Raw genomic sequence first — 18,270 nt, forward strand, 5'->3', positions numbered from 1 at the left:
AACACCGACAATACCAAATTTTGGCAAGGATGTGGAGCAACAGGAACTCCCATTTATTGCTAGTGGGAATGCAAAAATGATGCAACCACTTTGTAAGATAATTTGATGTTTCTTACAAAACTAAACATACTTTTATCATATGATCCAGCAATCATATTCCTTGGCACTTACCCCAAAGCAGAGGAAACATATGTCTACACAAAAACTTGCACACGAATGTTTATAACAGCTTTATTTGTCATTGCGAAAATGTGGAAGCAACCAAGATCTCCTTCAATAGTTGAATGGATAAACAAACTGGAGTAATAGTCCATTCATACAATGGACTATTATTCAATAATACAAAGAAATGAGCTGTCAAGCCATGAAAAGAAACAAAGGAACCTTAAAAGCATATTGCTAAGTGAAAGAAGTTAATTTGAATAGGTTACATACTGCTTGATTCCAACTATATGAAATTCTGAAAAAAGAAAAACTTTGGAGACAATAAAAAGAACAGCGGTTTCCAAAGGTTTAGAAGAGGAATGGAGGGATTAACAGGAGGAAGCTGAGAGACTTTTAGGGCAGTGAAACTATCTTATATAATACTGTAATGGTGAATACAGGTTATTACACATTTGTCAGAACTCATAGAATGTACAACACAAAGAATAATACTTAATGTTAGATATAGAAGTTAGATAATAATGGAGTTAGACAATAATGTAGTATCAATATTAGCTCATCAATAGTAACAAATGTACCACACTACTGCAAGATGTTAGTAATAGGGGAAACAAGAGTGCGGGTACGTGAAAACTCTTTATTTTACAGTTTTTCTCTAGACATAAGGCTGCTCAAAAAAAGTGATTTTTAAAATTATGTAACTGGTGTTTTTCCTTTGAAAATCTAGATTTCACTGAATGTGTACCATGTCATAAAAAAGGTAATGAAGTTATTTTAGATAAATTTTTTAATGTTCTTATAAATAAAGGTAAACCTGACAAACCAGGACAGCATATACAATATTAAAGTAAAAAGTTTTATAGAAGAACAAAAGGGAAAACTGGACCTATATAACTAAAAATGATTTCCATGTTTAGTTTAAAAATATCATATAATACTCAAATATATAACAAAGAATGCATTGTCTATCTACATATAAATATATTAACATTATATTAATGGTATGTATGATACCATTTATAACCATTAGTTTCTCAGGTGTTGTGCAAAGTTCATTACATAGACTATCTATTTACTTTTCTCCTTAATTTGCTTTTCTTTCCCCAAACGTGTGCTTCTTGATAGATCCTATCCTGGTTATATTTTGTATCATGTCAACCATTCCACCCATCAGCCTCTAAAAAAGAATAAGTCTTTTACCAAATTAAGTGTGATTTTTAAAATCAACTACATACTCTAATATTTTTCTTATACAGGTATAAATAGAACTGGAGAAAATAACTGGTCCCATAACTATTAGAAAATTCTAAATGGCCACCCATTAAAGATTATGTACTCATATCAAATACAGCCTCCTCTCTGAACCTTTTTTCCAATTTGTTTCTGTTGGTTTCCCCCTAACTCATGACAGTTTCTCTAACCTCTACTGCACAAAACAAACTAGTCACTTGTACCTCTGTACTTCCACTGTGCATGTACATCCTTCTTTGTACATCCTTTCCTTTTCTCAGTATTTTTGTAACTCATTAAACACACACACACACACACGCACACATTAAGGACAACAAGGAAAGAAACAAACCACTTTTTCCCCCACCAACTGACAATGAGTATTGTGAAGACAAAGACAATATCTTAGTCATCTTTCTATCCTCGGGGCTTTTCAACTAACAGTTCAAAGAATTATTCAGTAAGCTTTACTGAATAAATATACAGCATACCAAAGTCAAACCAGGTATCTTTTTACTTTCTTCAAATCGGCTATTATGAACTTAATGCCTTTTAAAGGTTTAGGATGTCTTATTTTCCTTCTTGCATACCTGGTTATCCCAATATAGGAAACTTCCTGCTTGCTTTCATTGTTAACCAGTGAAAGCCCAAGACTGTGGAGAGACAAGGTTATTTCATAATCAGCCTGTTCCATTTCTTCTGCCTGCAGTGCTTTGGAAACCAAGGCAACATCATCGGTGAAAAGCAAAACTCTCTGGCGCCCATCCAGAAATGATACCCAGTGTATCTGGATGTTTGCATCATATGGAAACTGTCCACATCCATCCTGGGAAGAAGAAAGACTTCATTAAACCCACACATAGTAACTTGTTATTATATAAAATTGAACTATAATAACAGAAAGATTAGAAAAGTTTAAGAAGCACTACTATAAATTGAAAAATTCTAACCATCAAAATGACATAAATTAAGCTATAATCTATTTTAAAATATACTCACCAATTATTTTCAAAAACGAAGACTAATAGTACGTAGTTTTTTAATACCTAAGTCTGAATTACCTACTGAGTGCTGAAGGGCACAGAGCAGGATTCAAGAGGATCCTTTGGTGGCACCAATGCAATAAGATGATTCTTTGTCTCCAAGCCGGAAAACAGAATGGTTCGGAAGTTTATTAGAGATGTAACCTTAGCCCAGAGTGGTGGCTCACGCCTATAATCCCAGCACTTTTGGAGGCTGAAGCGGGCAAATCATCTGAGGTCAGGAGTTCGAGACCAGCCTGGCCAACATGGTGAAACCCCGTCTCCACTAAAAATACAAAAATTAGCCAGGCATGGTGGCGGGCACCTGTAATCCCAGCTACTCAGGAGGCTGAGGCACGAGAATTGCTTGAACCCAGGAGACAGAGGTTACAGTGAGCTGAGATAGCGTCATCGCACTCCAGCCTAGGCAACAAGAGCAACACTCCATCTCAAAAAAGAAAGAAAGAAATGTAACCTCAGACAAAACCAGCCTAGCTTATTTTTATATTTTCATGATCTATAACATAGGAAATATTTATGTAAATCACACTGGTGAAGGTTATATGTAGCACTTAAAAATATGAGGCTTGATTTGGTCAGTGTTTTCAGAGGTTAAAATAATAAATTCCACTTTGTTCTGGGTTTAATGAAAATAGAACAGTTCATTTCAATAAGCAGTACGAGTACCTACTATGTACTTTCCATTCCATGCTTTCCAGGGGAGAAAAAAAAACAAAAACAACTGAAGTTACCAAGAGTATAAGAATAGTTGAGTGTCACTAATGTTCAAAATTTACTAATACTTTCAAGGTACATTATGTGATCAAAGATGCCTGCCCAATTTTTTTACTCTAATAAGAAATCAAATTTTCAAACATACCTATTAAGAAGGTGAATTCTGTATCTGTAAACTACAAAATGTGCTATGTATCTTAGTTCACAGTTATTATTCCAATATTATCTGACTCTTGTTTTTCATCTATTTCATGTGAAGTACAATAAAATATCCCCAGGTAATTGTGTTTCAGTTAATTTCTAGCATTTTAAGTTTTATATGTTGATGCAATACTATTCATTGCATGAAGGTTTATGGCTATCACTCCTTCTGTGTCATATTATCATTATCTATTTAATAATTTTGCTTTGAATTGGTCAGAAATTAAAATCAACAGAGGGTGATAACGCCAAAATGGAAGAGTAGAAGCAATGTGGCTTCACTCTTTACCACAGAAAACCAAACATAAACTTCTAGTGCCAAGATTATCATCAGCAATATCCCAGAACTTGAACCTGAGGCTGACACAATTCCTGGAGCCACAGAGAAGTGAAAAGCTCCACGCAGATGGTAACAGAAATGAACTTCTCTACCCACAATGCCTCTCCCCGAATCTGCCTGGCACTGCATGCAGGAAATTCCTCTTAAGCTCACAATTTCTACACTGGATAAAGTGAGATCAAAGCAGAAAGCCAGCTTCCTCACCATCTTGGGCTCCCTTGCAGGAAAACCACTCCTGGCTCAGCCCATGGGAAGCATCACAAGTGCTTTAGGAAGAGAAAACCCCCAAGGGAGGCTACAGACAAAGAGGAGAAGCAGGATTAAAAACTCCAGCCCAAGAATTTCTGCTCTTTATTTCAGCCAAAGGAAACGCCTATTCAGAGTGGCTGTTCAGCAGCACAACACTGTGGGAGGCACAGTCCCTAAGTCTTCTGAGGAGGAACCCTGGGCAGCCTTCCTACATAGCTGGGATATCCCCTTTGAGATGCAACCCCTTCCCCACCACTGGAGACAGTACTGCCAAATGTTTCAGAGAACTGAGGCAAACCAGCAATTATACCACCATCTAGTGCTGAATAGGAGGCAGTGATCTAGGATAAAGGGGACCCAAAGGCAACTGCAAAGGACCTCTAAGCAAACATATTCTAGAAAGACCAAAACAAGCCAGAGAACAAACACTGGAATAAATAAATAATCCTTCAATGTAAAGCCATAGACGCATGTCCACAAGAAACAACAGCAAGCAGGGAACCATGGCCTCCCCAAACAGACAAAGCAAAGTGCCAGTGACAAACTCTGATAAGACAGCCACGTGTGAGTTCTCAGATCAAGAATTCAAAGGAGCAATTCTAGGAAAGTCAGCAACTTCCAAGGCAACACAGAAAAACAATTAAGAAATTTATCAGTGAAATTGAAACAGACTGAAATAATAAAATTAAACAGAAATGCTGGAATGATGAAATAAATTTGCTGAACTGAAAAATGTATTAGAGGCTCTCAACAGCAGACTGGATCAAGTAGAGGATGGAATCAGTTAGCTCTAAGACAGGCTATTGGAAAATACACAGAGGAGAAAACAGAATAAAAAAGAACAAAGAATGCCTGCAAAATATAGAGAATAACCTCAAAAGAGCAAATCTAAGAGTCACTGGTGGTCAAGAGAGAGTTGAGAAAGAGCAAGGGGTAGAAAGTTAATTAAAGAATTAACAAGAAAATACTTTCCCTATTGGAGAAAGATAGAAATACACAGGTAAAGGTCACAGATGACCAAACGGATTCAATCCAAAGAAGACTACCCTAAGGCATATAATAATCAAACTCTCAAGGGCCTATGACAAAGAGAGGACCCTAAAAGTGGCAAAAGAAAAGAAGCAGATAACATATAAAGAAGCTGCAATTTGTCTGGCAACTGACTTCTCAGGAAACCATGCCCTGCAGGAGGCAGTGGGACAACATACTCAAAGTGTTGAAGGGGAAGAAAAACCCTGCCAACCAAGAATATTGTATCCAACAAAGCTTTGTTTCAAACATGACAGAGAGATAAAGTTTTTATCAGATGAACAGAAGCTGAAGGAATTCATTACCTCTAGACACATCTTACAAAAAATGATAAAAGGAGTTACTTGATATGAAAGAAAACAATGTTAAAATGAAAAAAAAATTTGGAGGCATATAACTCACTGGTAAAACTAAGTACACAGACAAATTGAGAATAATCTAACACCATAATTGTGGTGTATAATCCACTCATATATCTAGTATGAAGACTAAAAGACAAATCTATCAAAAATAATAATAATTACAACAACCTCTTAATAGGCAATACAAAAAAGATATAAATTGAGACAACAGAATGCCAAGATGTATGGGGGATGGACTTAAAAGTGTAGCATTTTTTAGTTTTTCCTTTTTGGTTTCCTTGCTTTCCTTTCTGATCAAAGTTAAGTTGTCATTTGTTTAAAATAATGTATTGTGTCTATAAGATGTTTTTTGTAAGCCTCATAGTAACCACAAAGCAAAATCCAATAATAAATATACTAAAAATGCAAAGCAATGAACTAAAAACATACTGTCAGAGAAAAACCACTTAACCACTAAGGAAGTCAGTAAGAAAAGAAGAAAGAAAGAGGGGCATTATAAAAGAATCAGAAAGGCCAGGCACAGTGGCTCATGCCTGTAATCCTAGCACTTTGGGAGGCCGAGGTGGGCGGATTGTCTGAGGTCAAGAGTTTGAGACCAGTCTGGCCAACATGGTGAAACCCCATCTCTACTAAAAATACAAAAAAATTAGCTAGGCGTGGTGGCGTATGCCTGTAATCCCAGCTACTAGGGAGGCTGAGGCAGGGGAATTGCTTGAACCAAGGAGGTGGAGGTTGCAGTGAGACGAGATTGCACCACTGCACTCCAGCCAGGGTGACAGAGCAAGACTCCGTCTCAAAACAAAAAGCAGAAAAAAAAAAAACCCCAGAAATCCTGTAACAAAATGGCAGTAGTAAGTCCTTACTTATCAATAATAATAATGAATGTAAATAGACTAAATTCTTCAATTAATAGAAATGGAGTGGCTGGGTAAATTAAAAAATATGGCCCAACTATATGTTGTCTACCAGAAACACACTTCAACTACAAAGGCATACATAGGGTGAACGTGAAGGGATAGAAGAAGATATTCCACACAAATGGAAACCAAGAAAAAAAAAAGAGTAGGAGTAGCTATGCTTAGTTACATCAAATAAAATAGATTTCAAGGCTAAGATTACAAAAAGAGACAAAGTCACTATATAATGATAAAGAGGTCAATTCAGAAAGAGGATATAACAGTTGTAAATATATGTACCCAACACCAGAGCAGCCAAATATATAAAGAAAATAATAACAGATCTAAAGGAAGAGATAGACTGGAATACAATATTAATAGGGGACCTCAACACCCCCACTCTCAGTAATAGAGAGATCATCCAGACAGAAAATCAAGAAAGAAACACTGGAGTTAAACTACACTTTAGACCAAATGGACCTAACAAACATGTACAGAACATTTCATCCGACTGCTGCAGAATACACGTTCTTCTCATCTGCACATGGCCCATATGGTAGGCCACAAAACAAGTCTCAAAAAATTCAAAAAAGTTAAAATTATATCAAGTATCTTTTCTGTCCACAATGGAATAAAACTAGAAAGCAATAACAACAGGAATTTGTAAAGTATAAAAACACAGAAATTAAATATGTTCCTGAACAATAAGTCAATGAAGAAATTAAGAAGGAAATAAAAAATTTTCTTAAAACAAATGAAAATGGAAACACAATATATCAAAATCTACAGGATACAGCAAAAGCAGCACTAAGAGGGAATTTTACAGCAATAAATGCCTATATCAAAAAAGTAGAAAGATTTCAAATAAACAACCTAACAGTATACCTTAAGAATCTAGAAAAGCAAGAATAAACCAAAACCAAAATTAGTAGAAGGAAAAAATAATAAAGATCAGAGCAGAAATAAATAAAATTGAGACAAAAAAATACAAAAGATCAATGAAACAAAAAGTTTTTTGAAAAGATAAAATGGACAAACTTTTAGCTAGACTACAAAAAAAGAGAAGACCTCAAATCAATAAAATCAGACATGAATAAGGAGACTTATAACAGTTGATACCAAGGAAATACAAAAGGATCATTAGAGACTATTATGAACAACTATCTGCCAAAAAACTGGAAAACACAGAAGACAGAGATAAATTTCTGGACACAAACAGTCTGCTAATAACGAACCCTGGAAGAAACAGAAAACCTAATTGGAAGACATCATGTTAAGTGAAATAAGCCAGGAACAGAAAGTTAAATACTGCACATTCTCACTCATATGTGGTAGCTAAAAAACAGTTGGTCTCATAAAAGTAAAAATTAGAACAGCAGATACTAGAGGCTGGGAAGGATAGGAAGAAGGGCGGATAGGGAAAGATTTCTTAAAGGAGATACAAAATTACAGCAAGATAGGAGGAATCAGTTCTAGTGTCCTATAGCATTATAGGATGACTACAGTTAACAATATTATTATATAGTTTCATATAGCTAGAAAAAGGATATTGAATGTTCCTAACACAAAGAAATGATAAATATTTGAGATATGAATATGTTAACTACCCTGATCTAATCAGTATATATTACAGATATAGCACAATATCATAAGTACGTACAATTGTGTCAATTTTTAAACATTATTTTAAAAGAAACATAAAGCCTGAGCAGACCAGTAACAAGCAACAAGATCAAAGCAATAATAAAAAGTCTTCCCTCAAAGAAAAGCCAAGGACCTGATGGCTTCACTGCTGAATTCTACCAAACACTTAAAAAATAAACTAATAAGGGGGAGGAGCCAAGATGGCCGAATAGGAACAGCTCCGGTCTACAGCTCACAGCGTGAGCGACACAGAAGACGGGTGATTTCTGCATTTCCATCTGAGGTACCAGGTTCATCTCACTAGGGAGTGCCAGACAGTGGGCACAGGTCAGTGGGTGCACGCATGGTGCGCGAGCCGAAGCAGGGTGAGGCATTGCCTCACTCGGGAAGCGCAAGGGGTCAGGGAGTTCCCTTTCCTACTCAAAGAAAGGGGTGACGGACGGGACCTGGAAAATCGGGTCACTCCCACCTGAATACTGCGCTTTTCCGACGGGCTTAAAAAACGGCGCACCACGAGATTATATCCCGCACCTGGCTCGGAGGGTCCTACGCCCACGGAGTCTCGCTGATTGCTAGCACAGCAGTCTGAGATCAAACTGCAAGGCGGCAGCGAGGCTGGGGGAGGGGTGCCCGCCATTGCCCAGGCTTGCTTAGGTAAACAAAGCAGCTGGGAAGCTCGAACTGGGTGTAGCCCACCACAGCTCAAGGAGGCCTGCCTGCCTCTGTAGGCTCCACCTCTGGGGGCAGGGCACAGACAAACAAAAAGACAGCAGTAACCTCTGCAGACTTAAATGTCCCTGTCTGACAGCTTTGAAGAGAGCAGTGGTTCTCCCAGTATGCAGCTGGAGATCTGAGAAGGGGCAGACTGCCTCCTCAAGTGGGTGCCTGACCCCTGACCCCCGAGCAGCCTAACTGGGAGGCACCCCCCAACAGGGGCACAGTGACACCTCACACGGCAGGGTACTCCAACAGACCTGCAGCTGAGGGTCCTGTCTGTTAGAAGGAAAACTAACAAACAGAAAGGACATCCACACCAAAAACCCATCTGTACATCACCATCATCAAAGACCAAAAGTAGATAAAACCACAAAGATGGGGAAAAAACAGAACAGAAAAACTGGAAACTCTAAAGAGCGGAGCACCTCTCCTCCTCCAAAGGAATGCAGTTCCTCACCAGCAACGGAACAAAGCTGGATGGAGAATGACTTTGATGAGCTAAGAGAAGAAGGCTTCAGACGATCAAATTACTCTGAGCTACGGAAGGACATTAAAATCAAAGGCAAACAAGTTGAAAACTTTGAAAAAAATTTAGAAGAATGTATAACTAGAATAACCAATACAGAGAAGTGATTAAAGGAACTGATGGAGCTGAAAACCAAGGCTCGAGAACTACGTGAAGAATGCAGAAGCCTCAGGAGCCGATGCGATCAACTGGAAGAAAGGGTATCAGCGATGGAAGATGAAATGAATGATATGAAGCGAGAAAGGAAGTTTAGAGAAAAAAGAGTAAAAAGAAATGAGCAAAGCCTCCAAGAAATATGGGACTATGTGAAAAGACTAAATCTACGTCTGATTGGTGTACCTGAAAGTGATGGGGAGAATGGAACCAAGTTGGAAAACACTCTGCAGGATATTATCCAGGAGAACTTCCCCAATCTAGTAAGACAGGCCAACGTTCAGATACAGGAAATACAGAAAACACCACAAAGATACTCCTCGAGAAGAGCAACTCCAAGACACATAATTGTCAGATTCACCAAAGTTGCAATGAAGGAAAAAATGTTAAGGGCAGCCAGAGAGAAAGGTCGGGTTACCCACAAAGGGAAGCCCATCAGACTAACAGCGGATCGCTCGGCAGAAACCATACAAGCCAGAAGAGAGTGGGGGCCAATATTCAACATTCTTGAAGAAAAGAATTTTCAACCCAGAATTTCATATCCAGCCAAACTAAGCTTCATAAGTGAACGAGAAATAAAATACTTTACAGACAAGCAAATGCTGAGAGATTTTGTCACCACCAGACATGCCCTATAAGAGCTCCTGAAGGAAGCGCTAAACATGGAAAGGAAGAACCGGTACCAGCCGCTGCAAAATCATGCCAAAATGTAAAGACCATCGAGACTAGGAAGAAACTGCATCAACTAACGAGCAAAATCACCAGCTAACATCATAATGACAGGATCAAATTCACATATAACAATATTAACTTTAAATGTAAATGGACTAAATGTTCCAATTAAAAGACACAGACTGGCAAATTGGATAAAGAGTCAAGACCCATCAGTGTGCTGTATTCAGGAAACCCATCTCACGTGCAGAGACACACATAGGCTCAAAATAAAAGGATGGAGGAAAATCTACCAAGCAAATGGAAAACAAAAAAAGGCAGGGGTTGCAATCCTAGTCTCTGATAAAACAGACTTTAAACCAACAAAGATCAAAAGAGACAAAGAAGGCCATTACATAATGGCAAAGGGATCAATTCAACAAGAAGAGCTAACTTTCCTAAATATATATGCACCCAACACAGGAGCACCCAGATTCATAAAGCAAGTCCTGAGTGACCTACAAAGAGACTTAGACTCCCACACATTAATAATGGGAGACTTTAACACCCCACTGTCAACATTAGACAGATCAACGAGACAGAAAGTCAACAAGGATACCCAGGAATTGAACTCAGCTCTGCACCAAGCGGACCTAATAGACATCTACAGAACTCTCCACCCCAAATCAACAGAATATACATTTTTTTCAGCACCACACCACACCTATTCCAAAATTGACCACATACTTGGAAGTAAAGCTCTCCTCAGCAAATGTAAAAGAACAGAAATTATAGCAAACTATCTCTCAGACCACAGTGCAATCAAACTAGAACTCAGTATTAAGAATCTCACTCAAAACCGCTCAACTACATGGAAACTGAACAACCTGCTCCTGAATGACTACTGGGTACATAACGAAATGAAGGCAGAAATAAAGATGTTCTTTGAAACCAACGAGAACAAAGACACAACATACCAGAATCTCTGGGACGCATTCAAAGCAGTGTGTAGAGGGAAATTTATAGCACTAAATGCCCACAAGAGAAAGCAGGAAAGATCCAAAATTGACACCCTAACATCACAATTAAAAGAACTAGAAAAGCAAGAGCAAACACATTCAAAAGCTAGCAGAAGGCAAGAAATAACTAAAATCAGAGCAGAACTGAAGGAAATAGAGACACAAAAAACCCTTCAAAAAATTAATGAATCCAGGAGCTGGTTTTTTGAAAGGATCAACAAAATTGATAGACTGCTAGCAAGACTAATAAAGAAAAAAAGAGAGAAGAATCAAATAGACGCAATAAAAAATGATAAAGGGGATATCACCACCGATCCCACACAAATACAAACTACCTCTACGCAAATAAACTATACTATAAACACCTCTATGCAAATAAACTAGAAAATCTAGAAGAAATGGATAAATTCCTCGACACATACACTCTCCCAAGACTAAACCAGGAAGAAGTTGAATCTCTGAATAGACCAATAACAGGATCTGAAATTGTGGCAATAATCAATAGCTTACCAACCAAAAAGAGTCCAGGACCAGATGGATTCACAGCCGAATTCTACCAGAGGTACAAGGACGAACTGGTACCATTCCTTCTGAAACTATTCCAATCAACAGAAAAAGAGGGAATCCTCCCTAACTTATTTTATGAGACCAGCATCATTCTGATACCAAAGCTGGGCAGAGACACAACCAAAAAAGAGGATTTTAGACCAATATCCTTGATGAACATCGATGCAAAAATCCTGAATAAAATACTGGCAAAACGAATCCAGCAGCACATCAAAAAGCTTATCCACCATGATCAAGTGGGCTTCATCCCTGGGATGCAAGGCTGGTTAAATATACACAAATCAATAAATGTAATCCAGCATATAAACAGAGCCAAAGACAAAAACCACATGATTGTCTCAATAGATGCAGAAAAGGCCTTTGACAAAATTCAACAACCCTTCATGCTAAAAACTCTCAATAAATTAGGTATTGATGGGACGTATTTCAAAATAATAAAAGCTATCTATGACAAACCCACAGCCAATATCATACTGAATGGGCAAAAACTGGAAGCATTCCCTTTGAAAACTGGCACAAGACAGGGATGCCCTCTCTCACCACTCCTATTCAACATAGTGTTGGAAGTTCTTGCCAGGGCAATCAGGCAGGAGAAGGAACTAAAGGGTATTCAATTAGGAAAAGAGGAAGTCAAATTGTCCCTGTTTGCAGACGACATGATTGTATATTTAGAAAACCCCACCGTCTCAGCCCAAAATCTCCTTAAGCTGATAAGCAACTTCAGCAAAGTCTCAGGATACAAAATCAATGTACAAAAATCACAAGTATTCTTATACACCAACAACAGACAGAGAGCCAAATCATGAGTGAACTCCCATTCACAACTGATTCAAAGAGAATAAAATACCTAGGAATCCAACTTACAAGGGATGTGAAGGACCTCTTCAAGGAGAACTACAAACCACTGCTCAAGGAAATAAAAGAGGATACAAACAAATGGAAGAACATTCCATGCTCATGGGTAGGAAGAATCAATATCGTGAAAATGGCCATACTGCCCAAGGTAATTTACAGATTCAATGCCATCCCCATCAAGCTACCAATGCCTTTCTTCACAGAATTGGAAAAAACTACTTTAAAGTTCATATGGAACCAAAAAAGAGCCCGCATTGCCAAGTCAATCCTAAGCCAAAAGAACAAAGCTGGAGGCATCACACTGCCTGACTTCAAACTATACTACAAGGCTACAGTAACCAAAACAGCATGGTACTGGTACCAAAACAGAGATAAAGATCAATGGAACAGAACGGAGCCCTCAGAAATAACGCCGCATTTCTACAACTATCTGATCTTTGACAAACCTGACAAAAACAAGCAATGGGGAAAGGATTCCCTATTTAATAAATGGTGCTGGGAAAATTGGCTAGCCATATGTAGAAAGCTGAAACTGGATCCCTTCCTTACACCTTATACAAAAATCAATTCAAGATGGATTAAAGACTTAAACGTTAGACCTAAAACCATAAAAACCCTAGAAGAAAACCTAGACATTACCATTCAGGACATAGGCATGGGCGAGGACTTCATGTCCAAAACACCAAAAGCAATGGCAACAAAAGACAAAATTGACAAATGGGATCTAGTTAAACTAAAGAGCTTCTGCACAGCAAAAGAAACTACCATCAGAGTGAACAGGCAACCTACAAAATGGGAGAAAAGTTTCGCAACCTACTCATCTGACAAAGGGCTAATATCCAGAATCTACAATGAACTCAAACAAATTTACAAGAAAAAAAACAAACAACCCCATCAAAAAGTGGGCAAAGGACATGAACAGACACTTCTCAAAAGAAGACATTTATGCAGCCAAAAAACACATGAAAAAATGCTCATCATCACTGGCCATCAGAGAAATCCAAGACAAAACCCCAATGAGATACCATCTCACACCAGTTAGAATGGCAATCATTAAAAAGTCAGGAAACAACAGGTGCTGGAGAGGATGTGGAGAAATGGGAACACTTTTACACTGTTGGTGGGACTGTAAACTAGTTCAACCATTGTGGAAGTCAGTGTGGCGATTCCTCAGGGATCTAGAACTAGAAATACCATTTGACCCAGCCATCCCATTACTGGGTATATACCCAAAGGACTATAAATCATGCTGCTATAAAGACACATGCACACATATGTTTATTGCGGAATTATTCACAATAGCAAAGACTCGGAACCAACCCAAATGTCCAACAATGATAGACTGGATTAAGAAAATGTGGCACATATACACCATGAAATACTATGCAGCCATAAAAAATGATGAGTTCATGTCCTTTGTAGGGACATGGATGAAACTGGAAATCATCATTCTCAGCAAACTATCACAAGGACTAAAAACCAAACACAGCATATTCTCACTCATAGGTGGGAACTGAACAATGCGATCACATGGACACAGGAAGGGGAACATCACACTCTGGGGACTGTTGTGGGGTGGGGGGAGGGGGAGGGATAGCATTGGGAGATATACCTAATGCTAGATGACAAGTTAGTGGGTGCAGCGCACCAGCATGGCACATGTATACATATGTAACTAACCTGCACAATGTGCACATGTACCCTAAAACTTAAAGTATAATAATAAAAGAAAAAAAACGTAAAAAAAAAAATTAAAAGTGTTTAAAAAAAAATGAACTAATAACCATTCTACTCCAACTCTTCAAAAAAAAAACTGCAGAGCGGGGAATACTTCTAAACTCATTTTACAAAGGCCAGCATTAACCTATTACTAAAACCAGACAAAGATACAACAACAACTACAATCCTCAACAAAATACCAGCAAACTGAATGCAGTAACACATTAAAAAGATCCATCACTAGGGTCAAATGAGATTCATCCTAGGGATGCAAGGATGGTTCAACATAAGCAAATTAACATGACACATGACATTAATAGAATCAAGGACAAAAACCATGTGATCATTTCAACAGATGCTAAAAAAGCGTTTGACAAAATTTGGTATTGCTTTATGAAAAAAGTTCTCAACAAACTAGGCACAGAAGGAACGTATCTCAAAATGATAAAGGCTATATATAACAAACCCACAGCTAACATCATACCGAAGAAGGAAAATTTGAAAGCCTTTCCTCTAAGATCTAGAACAAGACAAAGATGCCCACTTTCACCATTTTTATTTCACATAGTGAAGTCCTAGTCAAAGCCCTCAGGCAAGCGAAAGAAAAAAAGGGCATCCAAATTTGAAAAAAAAAAAAAAGTCAAATTATCCTCGTTCACAAACAACATATTACATTTAGAAAAACCTAAAGACTCCACACACATTAAAAAAAAAGAAAAAACCTGTTAAAACGGATAAATTTGGTAAAGTTGCAGGACGCAAAATCAATATATTAAAATCAAATGGCTGGGCACAGTGGCTCATGCCTGCAATCCTAGCACTTTCAGAGGCCAAGGCAGGTGAATCGCTTGACCTCAGGAATTTGAGACCAGCCTGGGCAACATGGCGAAACTCCGTCTCTACAGAAAAAAAACAAAAACAAAAACAAAAACGCTGGGCTTGGTGGTACACAACTGTAGTCCCTGATATTCGAGAGACTGAAGGGAGAATTACTTGAGCCTGGGAGGTTGAGGCTGGAGTGAACCATGATCACACCACTGCACTCCAGCCCAGGTGACAGAGCGAGACCCTGTCTCCAAAAAAAAAAATCAACTGCATAGCTTTATGCCAACAACAAACAAACTAAAAAAGAAATCAAGAAAGCAATACCATTTACAAAAGCTACAAAAAATATATAAAATACCTAGGAAAAAGATTTGACCAAAATGTATAAAGCTATGAAACACTAATGAAAAAAATGAAATAGGACACCAAAAAATAGAACGATATCCCTTATTCATGGTTTATAAGAATTTAATATTGTTAAAATGTCTCTACTACCCAAAGCGATCTACAAGACCAATGCAATCCCTATCAAAATACCAATGATATTATTCACATAAACAGAGAAAACCTAAAATTCATATGGAACCTGAATAGCCAAAGTAATCCTGAGCAAAAAGAATAAAGCTGAACACATCACACTGACTGACTTCAAAACATACCAAAGTTATAGTAACCAAAACATCGTGGCAGTAGCATAAAAACAGACCAATGGAACAAAATAGAGAACCCGGAAATAAATCCATGCATTTACAGCCAACTCATCTTCAACAAAGGCGGCAAGAGAATATACTGGAAAAAGACAGTGTCTTCAACAAATGGTGCTGGGAAAACTGGATAACCATATGATGCAGGAGAATTAAACTAGACCCCTACCTCTTGCCATATGCAAAAATGAAACCGAAATAGATTAAAGACTTAAATCTAGGACCTGATACCTTAGAACTATTTAAAGAAAACATTGGGGAAATGCTTTAGGACACTGGTCTAGGCAAAGACTTTGGATAACACCTCAAAAGCACAATCAACACAAGTGAAAACAAACATATAGGATTACATTAAGCTAAAAGGCTTCACGGCAAAGGAAATAATCAACAAAGTAGAGACAACAAACCGAAAGAGAGAAATTATTTGCAAACTATCTGTCTAATAAGAGATTAATAACCAGAAAATATAAGGAACTCAAAACACTCCACAAGCTTGGTGGAGTGTTTTGAATTCCTTAAAAAAAAAAAATGTGATTTAAAAACGGGCAAAAGATCTGAAGAGGCATATCTCAAAAGAAGACATACAATGGCAAACATGTATATAAAGCAATGTTCAACATCACTAAACACCAGGGAAATACAAGTCAAAACCACAATGAGATTATCTCACCCCAGTTAGAGGCTTTAATTAAAAAAAAAAAAAAAGACAGAGATGCTGGCATGGAAGTGGAGAAAGGGAAACACTTGCACAGTGTTGATGGGAATGTAAAGTAGTAGAGCTACATGGAAAACAGTATGGAGTTTCCTCAAAAAACTAAAAACAGAACTATAATCCGCAATTCCGCTGCTTGGTATATATCCCAATGAAAGGAAATCAGAATATTGAAGGTCCCATATTTATTGCAACACTATTCACAATAGCTAAGATATGGAACCAACCTAAATGTCCATCAATAGATGAATGGATAAAGAAAATGTGCTATATATACAGAATGTAATATTATTCAGTAATAAAAATGACTGAAATCCTGTCATTTGCAGCAATATGGATAGGACTGGAGGTCATTATGTTAAGTGAAGTCAGTCAGGTACAGAAAGACAAATAGCACATGTTCTCACTCATATGTGGGAGCTAAAAAAAAAAAGTGTATTTTACTTTATAGAGAGTTGATGTTGGTTACCAAAGGATGAGAAGGGGATTGGAGGGAACAAGAGAAGTTGGTTAATGGGTACAAAAATATAGTCAGAAGGAGTAACATCTTGTTGTGTTAGCTAGTACAGTAGGGTTACTATAGTTAACAATAATGTATTCTGTAGCTCAAAATTGCTAGAAGAGAAGATTTGAAATGTTCCCAACATAAAGAGAAATGTTTCAGGTGATACGCCAATTACTCCAACTTGATTATTGCACATTTTATGTATGTATCAAAATATCACAGGTATCCCCCAAAATGTACAACTATTATGTATGAATTTTTAAAAGGAAAGAAATTAAAATCAACATCTTTACTTTCTTTTTGCTTCCATTTGCTTGTTAAATCTTTACCATCTATCTTCATGGTTATAATTTTCTGTTAGCTTGGCTGAAACAGAAGTCTTGTAAAAAACTTACAGTTAAATCTTATGTTGTAATTTAATCTGAATGTTTTTATCTTTTAATAGAATTTAAACCATTTTCATTTACTGACATAACTGATGGGAAGCATGGTCTAGCAGAAAAAGTTCACAGACTTTGAAGTCAGACAGATCTGATTTTGAATTCCAACTAGCAGTTCAAAATTCCTATCGTAAGAATTAGTGATAATATATAAAAAGCATTAATATATGATATGTCCTCAATAAAATGTATCTGTCATTTATTATATACTTTCTTAGGTTTCTTTCTTTTACTATAACAGCAAAGTTTTACTTATTTTCATTTTCTCATTGTTTTGAAATTCCTTTCTCACTGATTTGAGTTCTACTAATTGATAGCTTTTTTAAAAAGATATAATCTTTGTCATTTCTCTAATAAAATTTAGGATTAAATGGGATATAAATATATAGTATGCACAGAATACAGTTTCCCCTCTCCTCTTACACTTCATTTTGCTGTCTTTATCTTTTATTTCACCTTGCTTTCTCTTATTTCATAGTTGTCATGTCTTTATAACTTAGTTGAGGATGCCAGGCATACATTTCGAAATGCTTCTTCTGGTCCTGTAGTAAAAAAATTTTCAGAGGTATAACTACCTTCTGAATCAACAGGATAATGCTACCTTTTTCTAATGAAGTATTTTTTTCATAAAGCCCATGTTGGGGTTTTTTCTGTTTATCATACTTAAATGAGGAAAGATCTGTGTAAACCTAGTGTTTGCCAACAATGTATGATTTTCTTTGAACTCCCCTGTCATGTCCACTTGGGCCTAAGCAGAACTCCCTTCTTTGATCAACTGAGTGGACAAGGACATAAACGATTTCCTTGCTTATAGCTCAATTTTCAATACGTGGCAGACTATCTGCTGACTGAGGTGGAATCACCCTCTCTTCCTACTGCCTCATTCTCTAACACCAAATAGAAGAGAAACATTAAAAACTGAAATCCCTGACCATGCTGTGAACAGAATTCTTCCCGGATCTCCTTCTATACACAGACCTTGATATCCTCCTCCAGAATGTCAT

The 18,270-nt window shown here is 37.3% G+C and overlaps 1 protein-coding gene across 7 annotated transcripts in view; it reads right to left on the reverse strand.

Moving 5' to 3' along the window:
- VPS13C (vacuolar protein sorting 13 homolog C) overlaps positions 1–18,270 on the reverse strand; it is a 208,059-nt gene that overhangs the window by 35,791 nt on the left and 153,998 nt on the right. For 5 of the 7 annotated variants that reach the window (XR_007064464.1, NM_017684.5, NM_020821.3 and 2 more), the window contains one exon: positions 1,986–2,221. Coding sequence is in view for 6 of the 7 variants with exons in the window: in NM_017684.5 (NP_060154.3) it covers positions 1,986–2,221 (236 nt within the window). In the remaining variant the exon portion in view is untranslated. Of the gene's footprint in view, positions 1–1,985; positions 2,222–17,689; positions 17,809–18,270 lie in introns of those variants that run through there. The other 2 variants (XM_047432741.1, XM_011521713.4) reach the window with 2 other exon arrangements.

Source organism: Homo sapiens, chromosome 15 (genome assembly GCF_000001405.40).
Source record: "Homo sapiens chromosome 15, GRCh38.p14 Primary Assembly".
NCBI classification, from domain to species: domain Eukaryota; kingdom Metazoa; phylum Chordata; class Mammalia; order Primates; family Hominidae; genus Homo; species Homo sapiens.